Raw genomic sequence first — 22601 nt, forward strand, 5'->3', positions numbered from 1 at the left:
GCCTATCATGAACTGGGTGCTTTCTGACCCATCTAGCCATAAAGTGGGTCATGACAGCAGCATTCCATCATCAAATGGAAGTGGTATATACGTGATCGGGCTCAAGCAGGACCTGAAGGCACAAGTAAGTTACATGAGGAAGTGGCTCAAATGCCCATGGTTTCCACTCCTGCCACCCTGCCTTCTCTCCCCCAGCCTGCACCAGTGGCCTGTGGGGAGTTCCCTATGATCAGCTGACAGACGAAGAGGAGACCAGGCCTTGGTTCACAGATGGTTCTGAACGATATGCAGGCGCCACCTGCAAGTGGACAGCTGCAGCACTACAGCCCCTTTCTAGGACATCCCTGAAGGACAGTGGTGAAGGGAAATCTTCCCAGTGGGCAGAACTTTGAGCAGTGCACCTGGTTGTGCACTTTGCAAGGAAGGAGAAATGGCCAGATGTGCAATTATATACTGATTCATGGGCTATAGCCAATGGTTTGGCTGGATGGTCAGGGACTTGCAAGAAGCATGATAGGAAAATAGGTGACAATGAAATTTGGGGAAGAGGTATGTGACCTCTCTGAGTGGTCAAAAGTTGTAAAGATATTTGTATCCCATGTGAGTGCTCAGCAAAGGATGACCTCAGCAGAGGAGGATTTTAATGATCAAATGGATAGGATGACCCATTCTGTAAACAGCACTCAGCCTCTTTCCCCAGCCACCCCGGTCATTGCCCAATAGGCCCATGAATAAAGTGGCCCTGGTGGCAGGGATGGAGGTTATGCATAGGCTCAGCAACATGGGCATCCATTCACCAAGGCTGACCTGGCTACAGCCACCACTGACTGCCCAATTTGCCAGCGCCAGAGACCAACACTGAGCCCTCGATATGATACCATTTCTTGGGGTGATCAGCCAGCTACTTGGTGGCTGATTGACCCAGACTATCAAGGTGAAATCAGTCCATTACTCCACAATGGAGGTAAGGAAGAGTACATGTGGAATACAGGAGATCCCTTAGGGCATCTCAGTATTACCAGGCCTTTGATTAAGGTCAATAGGAAACTACAACAACCCAATTCAGGGAGGACTACAAATGGCCCAGACCCTTCAGGAATGAAGGTTTGGGTCACTCCACCAGGTAAAAAACCATGACCCACTGAGGTGCTTGCTGAAGGGAAAGGAAATACAGAATGTGTAGTAGAAGAAGGCAGTTATCAATACCAGCTACAACCACGTGACCAGTTGCAAAAACGAGGACTGAAATTGTCATGAGTATTTCCTTATTTTGTTAAGAACATCTGTGCATGTATACACTTGTACTAAGAAAATATTTTCATTTTATTTCCTTTATTTTTCCTGTATCATGGGACATAAGATTTATCGACTTTATATCAGCATTTAAGAGTTGTTAACTTTATGTAACACTATTCAGATTAAGGATTAGTGCACTTCCAGTTGTAGGAAGGATAGCTGCATTATGTTGTGCATAATTGCGACCTTATTATTGTCTTTATTTGACAATTATGTGTGATTTCAGGGGATGTGTAATGTGTTCAGGTTGACAAAGGGTGGACTTGTGATGGTTAATATTGATTTTCAACTTGATTGGATCAAAGGATGCAAAGTATTGTTCCTGGGTGTATCTGTGAGGGTGTTGCCAAAGGAGATTAACATTTGAGTCAGTGGACTGGGAGAGGCAGACCCACCTCAATCTCGGTGGGTACCATCTAATCAGCTGCCAGTAAATCCAAGATAAAGCAGGCAGAAGAAAGTGGAATGAAGACTTGCTGGGTTTTCCAGCCTTCATCTTTTCTCTCATGCTGGGTGCTTCCTGCCCACAAACACCAGACTCCAAGTTCTTCAGCTTTTGGACACTTGGACTTACACCAGTGGTTTGCCAGGGGCCTTCAGGCCTTCGGCCACAGACTGAAGGCTGCACTGTTGGCTTCCCTACTTTTGAGGTCTTGGAACTTGGACCAGCTTCTCTGCTCCTCAGGTTGCAGATGGCCTATTGAGGGAGTTCACCTTGTGATCATCAAAGTCAAAACTCCTTAGTAAACTCTCCTTCATATATACATCTGTCCTACTAGTTCTGACCCTTTAGGGAACCCTGACTCATACAGTGTTGTTGTTTCTCCATGTGCTTTTCAGCATTTCCCATTCTCTCTGATCCAGGTTAATAGGAGAAGAAAATTCCCATATCCAGCATTTCCCAAACTTCACTAATTTCTTGATTAACTTTAGAGATTTTGCCATATCTGTGGCTCATATTTACTATTTTTTCACCTTTTGTTTTTTGTAAGAGACAAGGCCTCATTCTGTTGCCCAGGCTGGAGTGCAATGGCATGATCATAGCTCAATGCAGCCTCAAACTCCTGAGCTCAAGCAATACCCTTGTCTTAGCCTCCCAAGTAGCTGAGACTACAGGCACATGCCATCATGCCCAGCTAATTTTGTATTTCTTTGTAGAGATGGAGTCTCACTATGTTGCCCAGGCTGGTCTCAAACTCCTGGCCTCAAGCAATCCTCCTCCCTCATCCTCCCAAAGTGATGGGAGTACAGGTGCGATCCACTGCACTGGGTCCTTTTTTACTGAATATTTTTATTTAAACTGACTTATTATTTTAAAATTATTTCTACCTGCCCCAATTGACAGCACTCATAAAATTATGTTTGATATGCTAACCAGATTGTTTTTATTTTATTGCATTGTAAAGTAAACACAATATTATAGTTTAAAAGTTTTGACCTTTGTACCACCTAACATCATACCCCAGGGGCATAGTTTTCAGGGGAAAACCCCACTTCTTATACCTAATAGAGGGCATGCTCTCTAAGAAGGTAGGGAAGTAAGATTCCCTTTCTGCTTCTCTCTTTTATTTTTTGCTTCTATTGTAAACATTTAAGCCAACTTCCAATTGCTGCTCTTATTTCAAGTATAGAATGTACAAAATCCAGCCTGGGCAACATGGTGAAACCGCATCTCTACAAAAAATAAGAAAACTAGCTGGGCATGGTGGCACACCTGTAGTCCCAGCTACTCAGGAGGGGAGACTGAGATAGGAGGATCACCTGAGCCCAAGGAGGTCAAGGCTGCAGTGAGCCATGATTGTGCCACTGTACTCCAGCCTGAGCGACAGAATGATACTCTGTCTAAAAAATAATATAAAAAAAGGAATATGCAAAATCACCAGAACATCTAATTTCTGAAAAGCGTAAGTAACCATGAACTCTTCAACTTCCCTGGAAAGTGCCACCTGTAAGTGACTACTGTAAGTAGCATGGGAGAAGAGCAGACAGAATTCTCTCTGGACAGCCATCACCAAATGGCAGAGGCATGCATGTGCCACTGAGCAACAATAGCCAACATTCAACAAAACCAAGCACATTTAAAAAAATCTTTAGTGTGAAAATTCAAACATTTACAAAGGTAAAGAGAACAGTATCTCATGGACCCATCACCTGCTTTTGGCCAATGTTGTTTCATCTATACTCACACCCACTTCTCCCTCCCCAGTGTGTTACTGAGAGGCAAAATCACAAACACGGTTTCATTTCACCTGTAAGGATTTCAGTACGTGTCTTTAGAAGGAGTTTTATTTTGACTATGATCATAGTACCAGTAGGTCACAACAAAACTAAAAATGCTTTAGTATCATAAAATAATTAGTGTTCAAAACATAATTTTTTACCATTGTTTTGTTCAAATCAGGATCCAAATAAGATTCACATAACCTATTTGATTAGTATCTTCATAAGTAATTTGTAATCCATTGTTCCCCCCCTCAACTTTTTCTTTTAATTTATTTGTGAAAGAAACTTGCCCTTTCTTTGTCCTAAATACTTACCCACATTGTGGGTCTTTTTCAATTGCATCTTTGCAGTGTGCATTAAACATATTCCTCTGTTCTCTACTTGTTTAACTCCGGAGCTGTTCTGTCCAATATGTAGGCACAGGTACCTATTAAGCACTTGAAATATGGTTAGTCTAAACAGGGATGTTCTGTCAGTGTAAGATACATACCAGATTCCAAAGACTTAGTTTTAAAAAAAGTAAAATATCCACTAATAATGTTTATATAGATTATATGTTGAAACAATAACATTTTGTGTTGGGTTGAATAAAATTATTAAAATTAATTTATACTTGTATCTATCTATTTATTTATTTATTTATTTTTGGAGACAAATTCTTGCTCTATCACCTGGGCTGGAGCGCAGTGATGCGATCATGGCTCACTGCAGCCTAGGCCTCTGGGGCTCAAGCGGTTCTCCCGCCTCAGCTCCCCAAGTAGCTGGGACTACAGTCATGCGCCACCACACCTGGCTAACTTTTTTGTATTTTTTGTAGACACAGGGTTTTGCCATGTTGCCCAGGCTGTTCTTGAACTCCTGGGCTCAAGTGATCTGCCTGCCTCACCCTCCTGAAGTGCTGGAACTACAAGCATGAGCCACCGCACTTGGCCAATATCTTTTTATTTTTAATGTGGCTATGAGAAACTTTAAAATTATATATGTGGCTCACATATTTTTATTGGCCAGCACTATGTGAGAGCCTTAATCAGGTTCAGATTTGATGCTTTGGCAAGAGTATCTTGTGTGTACTCTCTAATATATTATACCAGGTGACAGAGAATGACTGTTGTCTTTGTGTGTGTGTGTAATGTTAGGATTGATCAGTGGGTCCACATGTTGTTAGCTTTATCCATTTATCCTAAAACTACGTATCAGACTGTCACATAACAGTCTTAGCAGCCATTCATAGTTACTGTCTTAAACAAGTTTCTCGGCCTGAGTACTATGGACATTTAGGGCAGGAGAATTCTTTGTTATGGGAGGCTGTTCTGTTCATTACAGGATGTTTAGCAGTTTCCCTGGTCTCTATCTACTAGATGCCAGCAACACTTTTCCTTGCCTCTAGATGGGACAATAAAAAAGTCTCTAAGACATGGTCAAATATGCAAAATCACCTCCAACCCATCTCCCTACCCCCAATTTAAGATACATTTTGTCTAGAGCCATTATCTCACTAGGGCCAAACATAAATTGAACCTCTTCAGTGACGTCTTCCCTAACACTATCTTTCTACAACCCAAAATTAAATATCTTCAATGTGCTACTTCCCTAGCACTGTGTTGCTCTCTAGGAGCATTTATTGTATTATTTCACAATTGCTTGAGTCTGTTTTCCTCTCTAGAATGTAAGTTCCTCAAGGGTAGCTTCCACACCTATGTATTCTACTGCCCGGCAAAACACCTGAATGTGGGCTCAATGGATTAAATGCCAAGTAAAGTTAAGAGCCACAGTCTCTAGGGGTTCCCTGATCCATCAAGTGGAAAAGCGGGACCACCCATCCAGTTCCTCAGTAATCATTTGTGGAGTTTGCCTATAAGAAGACTCTTAAGTAAAATGTATTGTTTTTGATAAGAAAATTAGAGTCATATCTGCCATCAGACTTGGGAATTTATTCACTTATTCAAGAAACATGTACTGGACACAAACTATTGGACAAATGCTTTTCTCAGAACTAGAGATAACAGTGAAGAATAAGCTGGAGAAGGTCCTCCCCTGCAGAGGGTATATCCTAATAGTAGAGAGTACTGCTAGGGGCCAAAAAACAGATACAGAAATAAATACATAAATAAGCCAGAGAATCTCAACTTGGGATATAAGTGAATAAAGAAAATAGACAACATGATGTGCTAAAAGTATGAATGGGAAAGCAACTACACTAGACAGATTGAAAAAATGAGATGGGAAAAGCCATGGACAAAGCAGGGAAGAGAATTCCAGACAGAAGAAAGAGAAAATGCCAGGTCTCTGCAGTAGAAAAGAGCAATCTGTGTTCAAAGTGCAGAATATCTGGCCTATGGGTCGGGGTGAGCAGAGCACACTGAGCAAGAGGCTGTGGAGCATGACAAGTCAGAGGCATGGGCAGGACAGCATGGCTGTGGTCCAGATCTGGGCTTTATTCAAAGAGTGAGAAGCTATTGCACAACTTAAACCATGGATGTAAAATAATATAAGCTACATATTTTTAAAATAACAGCTTTATTGAGATATAATCCACCTACCATACAATTCATCCTTTTAAAGAGTATAATGCAGTGGTTTTCAGTATGTTTACATACTTGGGCAACCATTACCGCTATCTAATTTACAACATTTTGTCATCTTAAACAGAAACCCCATACCTGTTCACAGCCTCTCCCATTCTCTCCTACTCCCAGATCCTGGCAACTGCTAATCTACTTTTTTTTCCTATGGATTTGCCTATTCTGTATATTTCATATAAATGGAATCAACAATATGTGACGTTTTGTGTCTAGTTTCTTTCACTTAGCATACATTTTCATGGTTCATTTATGTTATAGCATGAATCAGTACAGTACTTCATCCCTTTTTATGGCTGAATAATATTATATGGTATGAATATATCATTTTATTCATCTGTTGATTAACATTTGTGTTGTTTTCACTTTTTGGCTATTATGAAAAATGCTGCTATAAACACTTGTATACAAGTTATTTTTGTGAACATACGTTTTCATTTCTCCTGGGCATAGGTTTAAAAATGGAATTATTGGCTCATGTGGTAATTCTATGTTTAATTTTTTGGGGAATTGCCAAACCATTTTCCAAAATGGCTGTACAATTTTACAGTCCCACCAGCAACCTATGATGGCTTCACTTTCTTCACATCCTTGCCAACACCTATTAATGTCTGTCTTTTTTTATTTTAGCCTTCTTAGTGGGTATAGAGTGATATCTCACTGTAGTATTGATTTTCAGTTCCATAATGACTAATGATATTGAGCATCTTTCCATGTGTCTCTTGCTGGTTTTACATCTTCTTAGAAGAAATGCTTATTCAAATCATTTGCTCATTTTTAATTGGGTTGTCTTTTTATTTTTGAGTTGGAAAAGTTCTTTATATTTTCTAGATAAAAGTTCCTTATCAGATTTATAATTTGCACATATTTTCTCCCTTTCTGTAGGTTGTCTTTTCACTTTCTTCATGGTGTTCTTTGAAGAACAATTTTTTAAAATTTTTATGAAGTTCAAATTTCCTATTTGTTTCTTTGGTCTATGATGCTTTCAGTGTTATATCTAATAAGGCTTTGCCTAACTCAAGGTCACAAAGATTTACTTCTATATTTTCTGCTAAAAATGTTATGGTTTTAACTCTATGTTTAGGTCTTTAATCTATTTGAATTAATTTTTGTATGTGATGGGAGAAAGAGATCCAACTTTATCTTTTGCATGTAGATATCTAGTTGTTCCAGCATCATTTGTTTAAAAGATTATTCTTTTCCCATTGAATGACCTTGACCTCTATGTCAAAAGTTAGTTGAGCTGTGCGTGCTGGCTCATGCCTGTAATCCCAGCACTTTGGGAGGCTAAACCAGGCGAATCACTTGAGCCCAGGAGTTCAAGACCATCCTGGGCAATATGGTAAAACCCTGTCTCTGCATAAAAGACAAAAATTAGCTGGGTGTGGTGGCACACTACTGTAGTCCCAGCTACTCAGGAGGCTGAGGCGGGAGGATCACTTGAGCCCAGGAAGCAGAGGTTGCAGTGAGCTGAGATCATGCCACTGCACTCCAGCCTGGATGAAAGAGCAAGACTGTCTCAAAAACAGAACAATAACAACAAAAAAGAAGTCAGTTGACCATAAATGTGAGCGTTTATTTATGATTTTTCAATTCTGTTGAATTAACCTATTGTATGCCAGTACCACACAGTCTAGATTACCATAGATTAGTTTTGAGAAGTGTAAGTCCCCAATTTTCTTCTTTAATTTCTTTCAATAGTGTTTTATACTTATCACTGTATACATCTTGTCTTCTTTGTTGAGATTTTTTCTAGGTATTTTATTATTCTTGATGCTACTGCAAATGGAATGTTTTAAATTTCATTTTGGATTGTTCATTACCAGTGTATAGAAATATGCATATGCTGCAACCTTCCTGAACTCATTTAATAGTTTTAATAGTATACACTATTCTTGTGCTTGGTCTTAGGGGTAAAGTTTTCATTCTTTCACCATTAAGTATGATGTTAGAAGTACAGGCCAGGTGCAGTGGCTCACACTTGTAATCCCAGAACTTTGGGAGGCTGAGGCAGGAGGATTCCTTGAGCCCAGAAGTTTGAGACCAGCCTAGGCAACATGGAAAAACCCCATCTAAAAAAATTTAAAAATTAGTCAGATGTGGTAGTACATACCTGTAGTCCCATCTACTCTGGAGGCTGAGGTGGGAGGATTGCTTGAGCCCCAGAGATTGAGGCTGCAGTAAGCCATGATCATGCCACTGCACTCCTTTTGAGACCCTGTGTCAAAAAAAGTCTGTATTTTTTAGATGTCCTTTATCCAAATGAGAAAGTTTCTTTGTATTTTTAGTTTGTTAGGTGTTTCTGTCATGAAAGGGTGTTAGCATTTTGTCAACACCTTTTCAGAGTCAATGGCATTACCATGTGTTTTATGTTATTTATTCTATTAATATGATGTATTACATTGATTGATTTTCATATGTTAAGCCAACTTTGCATTCTTGGGATAAATCCTACTTGGTCATGGTATATAATCTTTCAAATATGTTCCTGGATTCAGTTTGCTAGTATTTGTTGGGAATTTTTTCATTTATATTCATAAGGGATATTGGACTGTAGTTTTCTGGTGATACTTCTGCCTGGTTTTGGTATCAAAGTAATAGTGGCTTTACAGAATGTGTTAGAATGTGCTCCCTCCTCTAAATTTTGGGAGTTTGCAAAAGGTTGATATTAATTATTTTTAGACATATGGTAGAATTAAAGAGTGAATCCAACTGGGCCTGGGCCTTTCCTTGTGGGAAGATACTATTAATACTAATTCACTCCATTTAGTTATTGTAAGTCTACTCAGATTGTCTATTTCTAAAAGTTTGTCCATTTCATCTATGTCATCTAATTTGTTGATAGACAATTGTTTGTAGTATTCCTTTATGACACATTTAATTTTGTTAAGTTCAGTAGTGATGTTCCCATTTTCTTTCCTAAGTTTAGCAATTTGAGTCTTCTCTCTTTTTTCTTGCTCTATTTAGCTAAAAGTTTGTCAGTTTCATTGATCTTTTCAAAGAATCAAATTTTGATTTCATTGGTTTGCTCTTTTCTTTTTCTAATCCCTTTTTTCCTAATAATTTCCACTCTCATCTGCATTATTTTCTTCCTTCTGCTAGCTTTGCATGTAGTGTAATCTTCTTTTTCCAGCATTGTAAAGTGGCAGTTTAAGCTGTTGATTTGAGATTTGTTTTAATATCAACAGTAACAGGTAAAGTTTCTCTCTAAGCATTGCTTTCACATACCATAAGTTTTTGGATCTGTGTTTTTGTTTTCATTCATCTCAAAGTTGTTTTTTCTTTTTTTCTTTTGAGATGGATTATTGTTCTGTCTCCCAGGCTGGAGCACAGCGGTGCAATCTCAGCTCACTGCAACTTCCACCTCCTGGGTTCAAGCAATTCTCCTGCCTCAGCCTCCTGAGTAGTTGGGATTACAGGTGTGCACCAACACACCTGGCTATTTTTTTTTTTTTTTTTGTATTTTTAGTAGAGACAGGGTTTCACCATTTTGGCCAGGCTGGCCTCGAACTCCTGACCTCCAGTGATCCACCCGCCTCGGCCTCCCAGAGTGCTGGGATTACAGGCATGAGCCACCGTGCATGGCCTCAAAGTATTTTTTAATTTCCTTTGTGAGTTCTCTTTGGCTCATTGGTTATTTAGGAGTGTGTTGTTGAATTTCCACATATTTGCAAATTTTCCAAATTCCCTTCTGTTACTGATTTCAAATTTAATTCCATAAGGGCCAGAGAACGTATTTTGTGTGGTTTTAATCCTTCTAAATTTGGGGGATTTTATGGCCTAAAATATGGTCTACTTTGGGGAATGTCCCATGTGCACTTGAGAAGAATATCTATTCTACTACTATTGGGTAGAACACTTCTATAATTATATATTATGTCTACTTAATTTATCCTGTTTTTTAAGTCTTCTGTTTCCTTTTGATTTTCTGTATAGTTGTTCTAGCTAGTGTAGGGTATTGAAATCTCCAACTATTATTGACGAATTACCTATTTCTCCTTTCAGTTCTATCAGTTTTTGCTTCATGTGTTTTAGGTTGTGCTGTTAGGTGCATATATGTTTATAATTGTTAAATCTTCCTCGTGTATTGACACTTTCATAATTACAAAATGTTTTTCTTTGTCTCTAGTAACACTTGTTGTCTTAAATCCTATGTTGTCTGATTTTAGTGTAGTCCCCCTACCTCAGTTCTCCTGGGTTATTGTTTGTGAAATATCTATTTGCTATAACTTTATTTTCAACCTAGTTATGTATTTGACTCTAAAGTGTGTCTCTTTTGGATAATGTACAGTTGAAACATGTTTTTAAATCTATTTTGCCAATCTTTGTCTTTTGATTAAAGTGTTTAGTTAATTTACGTTTGATGTAATTACTGATAAGGCACAATTTACATCTGTCATTTTGCTACTTGTTTTCTATATGTTTTATGTCTTTCTTGTTTATCTATTTACCATTACTGCCTTCTTTTGTGACAAATAGATATTTGCTGCTATACCATTTTAATTCTCTTCATTTTCTTTACTATGCATATTTTTAAGTTAGTCTTGGTGGTTGCTCTGACATCTAAACTTAAAATAATTTAGTTCAGATTAATATCAACTTATTTTCAATAATGTAAGAAAACTTTTCTCTAATAAAGCTTCATTTTTCCCCTTCATGCTGCTATCATCATATCAATTACATATTTATATATTAAAAGTCCATCGACAATGATCACTTTATGCACTTGTGTTTTAAGTCAAATAGGAAAAAAGAGTTACAACAAAAAATACATTTATACTCTCTTTTATATTTACCAAGGTAAGTGGTAGCTATGTAGTTATCGTTACTGGTGTTCTTTATATTTTGTGTGTGTGTGAATTCAAGTTACTGTTTAATGTTTTTAAATTTCAGCCTGAATGACTTTCTTTAATATTTCTTGTAGGGCAGTCTGCTAGTGACAAAATCTCTCAGGTTTTGTTTATCTGAGAATGTCTTAATTTCTCCTTTGTTTCTGAAGAATAATTTTCTGGTTGTAAAATCTTGGTTGGCAGTCTTTCTCTTTTAGCACTTGGAATGTGTCATCTCAATGCTTTCAGGCCTCTATATATTCTGAAGAGTAATCAGTTTTAATTATTATTGAATATCCCTTATTGTTTTTCTCCTGCTTTTTTCAAGATTTTCTCTTTGTCTTTCAACAGCTTGACTATTATGTGTTTAGATATGAAACCCTTTGAGTTTTTTCTACTTCAGATTTGTTGAGCATATTTGAAGTGCAGATTTAAATGTTTTTCACTAAGCTTGAAGAGCTTGGGCTATTATTTCTTCAAATGTTCTTTCTGCTTCTTTCTCTTTCTCTCTTCTTTCTAGGACTCCCATAATGGGTATGTTGATAGGCTTGATGTTTCCCACAGATTTCTGAGGCTTTGTTCATATTTTTTATTCTTTTTTCTTTCTTTTCTTAAGCAAACTTTGACTTATCTTCAAGCTTGCTGATTCTTTCTTTCCCCAGTTAAAATTTACTTTTCTGCTACTCTAGTAAACTTTTCATTTCAGTTACTGTACTCAATTCCAGGATTTCTATTTTTTGACAAATAATTTCTATCTCTTGATTGATATTCTCCAGTTGGGAGATATCATTTTCATACTTTACTTTTTACATGGATTCTTTTATTTCTTTGAACCATTTTATAACAGCTGATTTAAATTTTTTGTCTAGTAAGTCTAATGTCTGGGATCTCTCAGGAACAGTTTGTATTTACTGCTTTTATTCTTATGTATGAGCCACACTTTCCTGTTTCTTTGCATATGTCATAATTTTTTTTGAAAACTAGATATTTAAAATAATATAACAACTCTGGAAATTGGATTCCAGTCCCTTCCCAGAGTTTGTGACAGTTTCTATGTTTTTGTTTAATGACTTTTCAGGACTAATTCTGTAAAATCTGTATTCTTTATTGTGTGCAGCTCCTGAGGTCTCTACTTGGTTAGCTTAGTATTCAACCAATGATTCAACAGAAATTTCCTCAAATGCCTTGACCCAATATGTCCCTCAGGTGTCGTCAAGAGGTTCTGTATCTGTGTTGGGACATGGTTTCAACACCCTAGTAGTTAGCTTACAACTCTGCTTTAGTCTTAGATTCTTGATTGTGAGCCAGAGGTGTGAGATTAGTGCCTTCTCATGTCTTTCCTGGACATGTGCACTGCCCTGCCTATGAATGGCCAAGAATACGTCAGGTCTCTTAAATTTTCCTATAAACATCTCATTCCCCAATTTTCCCTTTTAAGGTTTTTTTGTTTCTGTTTTTGATTTTTGTTTGTTTGTTTTTTGTTTTCTGTAGTCTCTTGTTAGCCCCAAATGGTATGGACACCTCAGGCAGCTGTGATGTTAATCAATTGCTACTGCTTGTTTTTGACAAATTCCCCAAAGATAAGGCTGTCCATACAGAGCAGAGCTCTGCATTAGACAAATAAAACAAGCCCTAAGATTGGATCTTTTTATATTTTTTTAAAGTCAGGTTTATTGTAGCATATTCATATATAATAAAATTTACTATTTTAAGTGTACAGATTAATAAGTTTTGACAATACCTACACTCATATAACCAATGCCACAATCAAGATATAGAATATTTCCATCAGCCCTAAAAAGTTCCCTTTTTCGAGGCGGAGCTTGCAGTGAGCCGAGATCGCACCACTGCACTCCAGCCTGGGCAACAGAGCGAGACTCTGTCTCAAAAAAAAAAAAAAAAAAAAAAATCCCTTTTTCTGCTTTGCAGTTAATGCCCTCCCCTAGACCAAAGTCCTGGAAAACATTGTTTCCTTCTAGTTTGGCCTTTTCTATAATGTCGTATACACAGGACCATATAGTAGGTAGCTCTTTCTGGGATATACATTTTTTTAAAGTACATTCCTCCGCCTTGCGGGGAATGAATTGGAGAGAGCCAAGGGAGGAAGCAGTGAGAACAGTTAGAAAGCTATGATCCTAGTCCAAGTGCAAGCTGGTGGGAACTAAGATATATTGGTAACAGAAGATGGTTGTGAACTCTACTGAAGTGGGGTAGAGGGAAATAAGAGTTCTAATTTAATCACATTGGAAACCTTTCAGGTCAAGAAAAAAAATTATGCTTCCTATAGCAAGCTATCAAAACTTACATACTTTAAAATATAAGACCATTTATCTTTTCTCATGGGACTCAGAGTTCCCCACACGAATACCCATTTCTACATGCACTCAAGAAAATGCCACTGTCAAGCAGCTCTATTGTGGACTGTATATCTATGAGCAGAGTTCTAAGTAGAGCTTTCATCTTCTCCCCAAGTACTGACAAGCTGCACAGGAGACACTCTGCTTTGCTAATCTTCCACTTAAGACAGGACCTAATTAGATTGTCTTCTGGCTTTGATCAGAGAGGGTCTTTGGAAAGTTTAACAGCTCTGAACGACTCAATTGCCAGAGAGAAACCAGCGTGCCAAAAATAAAGCATTAATCAAAGCCAAGAAAACAGTGTTGGCTGAAACATGGCTTGGTATGGGGCGCTAGGTATTTCAAACAGCCGAGTTTGATGGAAACAATTAGGAACAGCAGTAATTGCCTGTCAGGCAACATTGCCATTTGCTGAGGACAAAGCTGATAAATTCAGACACAAAGGCTGCTGGGACCTCCATTGTAGCCTTTCACTTTTGAAGATTGTCTTCTGGTTTCCATTACAATGAAGCTCAAACTGCCGGCCCCATTAAAATGTCAAGGTGGGAGGGAGGGAGAAGGTCTTGAAATAAGTCTTTCAAGGCTATTGTTATAGATGGTTTTATTTATGGAGTAGGGTTCCTGTACACACTTATTTTACTTTTTCTTTACCTTAAGTGATGAAAGAACCAAGTCCTTTAGCCCTTATCGCCAGGGAACTGAGGGGCCAAATTTTGATCTCTGTAGTTTTTCAGGGGACAGGGTAGTGGAGGGGTGCAGTCAGGTCACACTCTGCCCTTATCTGTTCTTCCCCATACCTGGAAGAGTAAGTTCAGGTGCTCCAAAGAGACTATTCTGCAGAAGTTCCTTAGCCAGTGACTTCCAACCTTTCACAGGGCTTTAAATACCCATCCCACAATTAGAAATCTTGTAGCAATCTGGAATTCCCCTTTTCCTCCCTCTGTTCCGAAATGCCCCATCATCAATAGCTGCTCTCCCATTGGATTATTTGTAACCCAAATTCTGGGTCAAGGAAAAGAGAAAGGGTGTCCATTCTTAGGCCTAGAAAGGCTGTAATGATACATGTAAGGTATCTGTGGGGAAATATAAGTTCATTAGTAAGGAGTTCACTGAGATGTCTGTGACTCAGGCACATTCATGGTCAGTATAAGCACTGTCAATATTAGAGTCACTCCTTACTTAGAGAGGACATAATTGAAATAAACCAAAACTGAAATGCTGATCTGGAAGCCTAGAGACTGGGGTTTCATATTACTTGTCTCTAAAAAGCCATGTGCCCCGGAGTACAATTTTAACTTTGTTTGGTTTAGAACTGAATACCCAAGGCCTAGAAGACCACCCAGCACATAGTAGGCTCTTGGCAATTAACATTTGCCAATTAAACTTTTTCAAACCTCAGCATACTGACCAGAAATAGGGGATTTTATTAGTTTTCTGAGGCATCCAGAACAATATACTACCAACTAGGTGGCTTAAAACGATAGAAATTCATTCTTTCAGTTTTAGAAGATGGAAGTCCAATACAAAAGTGTCAAGAGGGCCATGCTCCCTCTAAAATCTGTAGAGAAGAATCCTTCCTTGCCTCTTCCTAGCTTTTAGTGTTGGCTGTCAACCCTTCGTGTTCCTTGGCTTGTAGCTGCATCATGCCAAGCTCTGTCTGTCATCACATGGCATTCTCCTGTGTGTCTCTGTGTCCTCTTCTTAAAAGGGCGCCACTCATATTGAATTAAGGGTTCACCTTACTCCAGTGTAACCTCATCTTGACTAATTACATCTGCAACCACTCTATTTCCAAGTAACTTCTCATTCTGAGATATTGAGGATTAGGACTTCAGTATAGCTTTTGGGAGTGCATCATTCAACCCATAATAGGGATAATTCCAGTTGTCAATCCATCTCATCATTTATTACAAGGACCTATTAAGATAACACATGGAAAAACTCTTTAGAAATAACAGATTATTATTCACATGCCTAGAGGAATTTCTTCTCCATACCATTTACTGTTAGGATATAGTAATATGTCATAAAACTTAAATTGTCAACTTGGATACTTAATAGGACTTCATAATTCTATTAATATACATTATCCCTCTTTAGCCTGCAAAGTGGGCAGGGCAAGAACTATTATCTCTTTTAGAGATTAAAAAAACAAAACAAAAAAAAAAAAGAAAAAAAAAAGACTGAGATACAAAATTAAATGACACAGTCAAAGATAAACAGAATGACAGCAGAAGAATTGGTACTAGATCCCATGGTGTCAGCCTCCCATTTGTGACCCTTTTGATTCCATCATAATGCTGAGATGACAATTTCTCCCTGGAGCCTTCATTTTCTCATCATTAGGTGGTCTGCTGCAGAGAACTAGAGGTTCAACTCCTGATCCATGGAGACTCACCAGTGCTAAGGGACTTCTGTTCAATTGGATCAAACTTGGCTGTATTGTGGTGCTGAAGATGCAAGGTGGGAGAGAAGGGGACGGTGAAAAAAGGGATGAAAGTAAGGAGTAATTACAATGAGTAGGTGAACTAGCAACTCAGCCAACAAGGAATGAATTAAGTGTGGTGTATAGGATAATTAGCAGTTCTTTAGTGCAGGAAAATTGCTACCAGCTGTTCATAACCCAAGAATGAAGCGCTGATCTGTAAACGGTTATCTGAACAACCAGGGAGACAGCTCAAAATGAAGCTGTGCCTCAGGGCCTGAAGGCTATGCTTTATTGTCCAGAAACAGCCTTGCCCTGGGACGAATCCATTATACTCATTAATAGTTGTTACATGCATTTCTTGTTCTAGCCACAAGCCCCTCGAGAACATTGGGCCCAGGGTCTACAGGAGTCAGACCAAAAGGGATAAATAAGAATGTCAGAGTCCTGAAATCCCAGGGTTCCTCCTCAGTTTGTTACTCCCACTTTCTTCTTCGTAGCCTAGTCAAAAAACATGATCTTATCCATCTTCAATGCCCATTTCCTCATTGAATTTCCCTGCCTTACCCCAGACAGGGTAGACGTGTCAGACAGTCTGACGCATCTTCAATCTGGCACGCTAATGTAGCTGCTCTTCTGAGTTAACCAAGAACCTTCAGAACAACAACAAAAATAACATAGAAGAAAATGTTATGACAAGATCCTGGAATGTCTTGTCACACTGACGGCAAGAACACCGTCAGAGCTTGAGAGTCATGTTAGAAAGTCAGGAGTCAACTCAATGAGGCTTCTACTGACTAAAGTGGGATGAACTGAACATTGATATAAATCATATCAAACCAAGAGATTAAAACACTTCAAATATGTCAAAAATCCATGCGTTCATAAAGATACTAAAACCAATATTCATTGTCCTCCTTGGAGCTTCTGGGGGACCAATACGTTACCCTGGAAACTGGTAAATAAAGGGAAGAACCAAGCATCCAGACCTCTTTCCTGTAGAACTGCACCGCAGATACTAAACAGGTGATGGAAGACTTCTCTAAAATAAATGAAGAAGAAATTATATTACCCTTTTGCAAACCCCGAACTAAATAAGAGATATAGGCAAGGATCAGTGATTGCCACTAACAACACAAAAAGAGAGACAATGAGACATTATGTTTCTCTTGATAAAAGTGCCATTCACTTTACCTGTAAAGGATCCTTGTCACATCAGATCAAGCCTCTAGATTTAACTACCAATGTATAGAAAATGCAAAGAACAGGCCAAGCATGGTGGCTCACGCCTGTTATCCCAGGACTTTGGGAGGCCAAGGTGGGCAGATCGCCTGAGCTCAGGAGTTCGAGACCATCCTGGCCAACATGGTGAAACCCAGTCTCTACTAAAATACAAAAAAAAATTAGCTGGGCATGGTGGAGCATGCCTGTAGTCCCAGCTACTCTGGAGGCTGAGGCATGAGAATCACTTGAGCCCAGGAAGCGGAGGTTGCAGTGAGCCGAGATCATGCCACTGCACTCCAGCTTGGGCTACAGAGTGAGGCTCCAACTCAAAAGAAAAAAAGAAAGAAAAGAAAACACAAAGAACAGAGAAATATGTCAAATGACACTACAGGAATGCAGTCAGAAAAATTCTGAATGTGAGTAATACCATAGGACAAATGATTTGGTTTCCTCAACAAGTAAATAATTAGGAGGGAGAAAACAAAGAAAGAGGGACTGTGATAAAGTGAATTATTGGCCCCCATTCTTCATCCCTTCCTGCACCCATACCTATGCCACAGCCTCATTGTGGGAGGAGTATACTTCCCTCCCTTTGACTCTGGGCTTGGCAATGATATTTGCCTGAGTAATTGGATGCAGTGGAAGTGGCAGTGCACAAGCTCTGAGCTCAGGCCATCTTGTGCTCCTGCTCTTGTCTTGAGAAGAGCTTCCTTTAGATAGCTGTTGAGTCTTCAGCCTGGACAGTGAGTATCTCAATGACAATAAAAATGGATTGAAAACAAGCAGCCACAACTCGATATTCTAGACAAGACACATGCTGTAAATTGAACATGTTCCCCGTTTAGTCATATTTTGAGATCCTAAGCCCAGGTATGATGATGTTAGGAGGCAGAACCTTTGGGAGGGGATTAGTTCATGAAGGTGGAGCAATCCTTCTTGAATGGGATAAATGTCCTTATAAGCTTATGAGCTCATAAACTCAAACCATCAACCCAAGAAGACACACACAAGAGTGCTTGCTTTTTTCTCCTCTCTGCTTTCTGATACATGAGGACGCAATGAGAATGCAGCTGTCCACAAACCAAGAAGAGGGCTCTCACCAAACACTGGATCTGCTAGCACCTTGATCTTGGACTTCCCAGCCTCCAGAACTGTGAGAAATAAATGTTTGTTGTTTAAGCCCCCTAGTCTATGGTGTTCTGGTATAGCAGCCCAAATTGATTAAGACAACATACAGCCCTAAGAAAGGGAGAGCTTCCTCCCCAGCCTAGTACACACCCAGTAATCTGCCACCACCACTATCCCCACTACAGTCACAACTAAATTTATATTTCCTGAGTTTTCTGCAGATATAATGAAACCAACAGAATAAGAAAGAATGACATATCTCATTCAACTCCATTATAGATTAATTTCAGTTGCCAATCTTCAGTGGCTTGAGTACCAAAGACAGAAAAATACATCAATTGGCCCCTAGGACTGAATCCTTTCCTCTTAGGGCAGAGAAAAATAGAGTTTGTTATCACCATCACCAGGTTAAAATCTTTATGTGGAATGTTTCCAGGCAGAGACCTGAATGTGTAAAGAGGAAGAGACAGATATTTCTTACTAGCAGCTTTTCTACAAGAAGAAAGACTGCTTTTCTAATTTGGTATATTTGTTCAGGTCTCCACTCTGGGCTCTTCCCCACAAGAAGTCCTAAGGAAGCATGTAGGTCCATGCCATCAACTAGGAGGACCTTGGAATCCAAATATTGGGAGGTTAAGTACCAAAAACATGTTCATCAAAAAGGTAGAAGATGTGCTCAGTTGACTCTTTTAACTTTTATGAGCTGAATTTATTTTTGGAAGGTTTGCAGCCTAGAGTATGGTGGGGAACATATAATAAGATTATCTGCTGTAGGTCTTCACTTTCCTGCCAGAGAAAAACAGTTGGGAGAAACCCTAAAATCCAGGCCCACACTCAGCCCTTAGCACAGCCCATAAACTCAAACCATCAACCCAAGAAGTTCCAGACCACTTCAATTAGCCATCAATCCAGAAGTTCCAAGTATGGAATGGTCTCTTCCATTCCAGGAACTTCAGCGCTTGTAAACTGTGGCAAGTTATAATTCCAAAAATGGCTACAGCAATATTTCTGGTCCCGTATACTTTTCCAGAACTTTGTAACTCCCTATCAAGAGGTGGGATCTATTTCTCCTCCTCTTGAAACTGGGCAAAACCTTGTGACTGATGATGAATGCAATACAGTGAAAATGGCACTCTATGGATTCTGAGGCTAATTCATAAAAGGCTACCTTTCTCAAGATGCTTGTCCTTGGAACCCAGTCACCATATGAGAAAGCCCAATCAAGTCCATGTGGAGAGACCATTTGGTGAGGCCCATGTGAAGAGAAACTGAGGCCTCTAGCCAATAGCCAGCATCAATAACCAGGCATGAGAGTGAAGAAGCCTTCAGATGATTCCAGCTCCCAACATGTGAGTCTCCCAGCTGAGGCCCCAGACATCCTGGCATAGAGCAAGTTACCCCTTCTGTGCCCTGTCCAAATTCCCAACCCATTGAATCTACAACAAAGCAGAGTTAGTATGTAAACTCAGACTCCGAATCTCAAAAATCTCAAGGACCAAAAGCAGTAGTGTCCTGATACTCCTCTGCTGGTGTCTGATCACAATTGTATTGGCCTCAGCAATGTATGAATAAAATGACCAGAAGAGTTAGCTCAGGCTGGAAGAAGATTGAGGCCATGCTTTGAGTGAGTAAGTTTTTGCCCCTTTAGAACTAGAAAGTGCTTAAGGGGCATAAACGGGGAAAGTCAAGAGTGCCATGGTAGCACAAAGTAGGGTCATGGCCAGGCATGGTGGCTCATGCCTGTAATCCCAGCACTCTCGGAGGCTGAGGCAGGAGGATTGCTTGGGCCTAGGAGTTTGAAACTAGCTGGGGCAACATGGCAAAATCCCATCTCTACAAAAAATATAAAACAAAAAAATTTAGCTTGGTGTGGTTTTGTCCACCTGTAGTCCCAGCTACTTGGGAGGTTGAGGTGGGAGGATCACCTGAGCCTCAGAAGTCTCAGAAGCTGCAGTGAAATCACACCACTGCACTCCAGCCTGGGGGACAGGAATGAAATCCTGTCTCAAAAAAAAAAAAAAAAAAAAAGAGTGGCCAGGCGCAGTGGCTCATGCCTGTAATCCTAGCACTTTGGGAGGCTGAGGTGAGTGGATCACTTGAGGTCAGGAGTTCGAGACCAGCCTGGCCAACATGGAGAGACCACCGTCTCTACTAAAAATATAAAAATCAGCTGGGTGTGGTGGTGTGAACCTGTAATCCCAGCTACTCAGGAGGCTGAGGCACAAGAATTGCTTGAACCCAAGAGGTGGAGGTTGCAGTGAGCCAAGATTGTGACACTGCATTCCAACCTGGGCAACAGAGCAAGATTCCATTTCAAAAAAAAAAAAATGAAGAAAGTAGGGTCATATGGCAGAGGAAGAGCCTCCTAAGAAAAGGGTACACAATAGTGGAATGAGAGAAAAGAGCAGAGAGAGCCAGATGCCCACATGAGAAGGGTCTGTAAGTTATATAATACATTGTTTAAAAGTCTAACCTATAGGTTTGAATCCCTAAGAAGAATAAAACAGTGCAAAAGTAACTTGTTTTTCTCAAGGATTACCGTGTTCCCAAAACTTTCATTTATGTTATCTCAATTTAACTTTATAACTTTGTGAGACATTTACCATTTTTATCACCATGTTCTCTTTTTATCTTTTATCATAAACAAGTTTCATTGTAAAAAATTTAAAAAAGTAGACATGTGAGAGTGAAAATAAAGATTCCCCTTTATTCTCTTACCTAACTCAATTATTCTCCCCATTTCAGAAGTGCCTACTGGTATGCTACATCTTTGTAGATGTACCACTAGAGTCTTATGCCTTTCTAGAGCTTTTTCTTTGTGCTAATAGACTTCTATATTTACACATATAGAGCTATTTAAAGAACATAAACGGAATTATACTATTTTTGTGAATTTTGCTTTTGCATTTAGGGATCAGCATATATGATGCTAATCTCATTTCTTTAAAAAAAGTTTTAGGTATTCCAAAGTATGGATAAACCACAAAATTATCTAGCTTCTCCCTCACTGATAGACCTACTTTAGGCTATTACACATAATACTGCAACAAGTATCTTCATACATATATTGTTGGACACATGTGGGAGTATTTTTATACGATCAATTCCTGAAGTACTTTGATATGATGACTTCCGGACCAAGGCATGTACATTTTAAATTTTGTATGATTCTAATTTTTAAGATAAGAAAACATATTGAGAAGTTAAGAAACTTGGCCAAGGTCACACAATTGGTAAGTGGCAGACCCAAGATTCAAACCCAAATTATCTGATTCCATGTGTTTGCTACTATGTGACGCTATCTGGAAAGACCCAGATAGCATGAATCACAGCCAATGCCTATTAGATGCATCCTTGCATTTTCTTAAACTTGTGCCTACTCTTCAGAAAGCGTTTCCTTGTAAAAAAAAAATTAAGAAAACAGACATGTGAGAAAAAGAAAACTTATTTTCCTTCAGGAAAGAAGAAGGGAAAACAAAGCTGTGATTCCCACATAAATTTTAAGCAAAGAGGCTTACTTTGTATTAGTCAGGGTACATTAACTGCTATAACAAATAAACACCCAAATATCTGTAGAAAACACACCAACAGTTTATTTCTTGCTTGTGTCACAGTTCAAAAACAGAATGGTGGTGGAAGGAAGAGCTCTGCTCCACGCAGTCATTCAGGGACCCAGCCTCCTTGCACATAGTTGCCTAAGATTCTGGAGCACTGCAGAGGACATAGACAAAGTAACCCTCTCTTAATCACCTTGGTTTGGAGGTTCACATCACTTCCACTCAGATTTCATTGGCAGAACTCAGTCATATGTCTGAACCAAACTTAAAAAAAAGTTGAGTATTAACATCCAGCTGTGTACCCAAGAGGAAAGAAAACATGGTTTTGATGGGCACAGAGTATTGTCTCTACCACAGTGAGGAATGAGAGCACATGAAAAAAATCAACTTGTATTGAGCAATTACTATATGCCAGAAAATGCTCTAAGTGCTTTCTTGTACAATCTCATGTGATCCTCACATCAACTCTGAGGTAGGGACTATTTCCTCTTTCACATTTTACATACGAGAAAACTGAGAAACAGGGCTATTAAGTTACTTGCCTAAGTTAACACAATCAGTAAAGGGTAGAGCAGGATTCAGATAGACCAGCCCAGGGTCCACACACCCTGGAATTTCTTTACATAACCTTTTAGTTCACAAATCAGCTTCTCTTTTCTTGAAGAAACCAACAAGCAGCACTATTTGTGTTACAAAAACAGTTTTACATACAAATTGTTTTCATGTAAATGTATATGAATTTGTTCCATGAATGCTCTTTATTGCATCCTGGCCTTGACGCAGGACCTAATTAATCGTCTCTTTGGTTCCCCCATTATTCTCTCTGGCAATCACAAATCCCTCTCTAAAAAGAAAACCTTCAAGTCTGGCTCTAAGAGGAAGGCTGGGGGAGAAAAGGAGGGGCCTTGTTCCTGTTTGAATCAATTGTTTACTTAACCCTGTGGCTGAAATATAAACAATTTTTTTAAGGCTAAAGAGAGAAT

General features: G+C 39.1%; 2 long non-coding RNA genes across 3 annotated transcripts in view, besides 1 other annotated feature; one reads left to right on the forward strand and one right to left on the reverse strand.

Moving 5' to 3' along the window:
- Positions 1–12871: 12871 nt before the first annotated feature.
- Positions 12872–22601, reverse strand: part of LOC105377714 (uncharacterized) — a 126055-nt gene continuing 116325 nt past the window's right edge. The window contains exon 3 of the long non-coding RNA XR_941200.3: positions 12872–15201. This is a non-coding gene — a long non-coding RNA (uncharacterized LOC105377714). The remainder of the gene's footprint in view (positions 15202–22601) is intronic.
- Positions 13248–14043: an enhancer, noted in NCBI's record as "OCT4-NANOG hESC enhancer chr5:168884987-168885782 (GRCh37/hg19 assembly coordinates)". NCBI's record gives its function as "activates a minimal SCP1, AML or CMV promoter by ChIP-STARR-seq in naive and primed H9 embryonic stem cells {active_cell/tissue: H9 hESC(naive and primed)}" and the evidence as "EXISTENCE:reporter gene assay evidence [ECO:0000049][PMID:30033119]".
- Positions 15649–22601, forward strand: part of LOC105377715 (uncharacterized) — a 101339-nt gene continuing 94386 nt past the window's right edge. The window contains exon 1 of one of the 2 annotated variants that reach the window (XR_941204.3): positions 15649–15747. This is a non-coding gene — a long non-coding RNA (uncharacterized LOC105377715). Of the gene's footprint in view, positions 15748–20411; positions 20501–22601 lie in introns of those variants that run through there. The other variant, XR_941205.3, reaches the window with a different exon arrangement.

This window comes from Homo sapiens, chromosome 5 (genome assembly GCF_000001405.40).
Source record: "Homo sapiens chromosome 5, GRCh38.p14 Primary Assembly".
In the NCBI taxonomy this organism is placed as follows: Eukaryota; Metazoa; Chordata; class Mammalia; order Primates; family Hominidae; genus Homo; species Homo sapiens.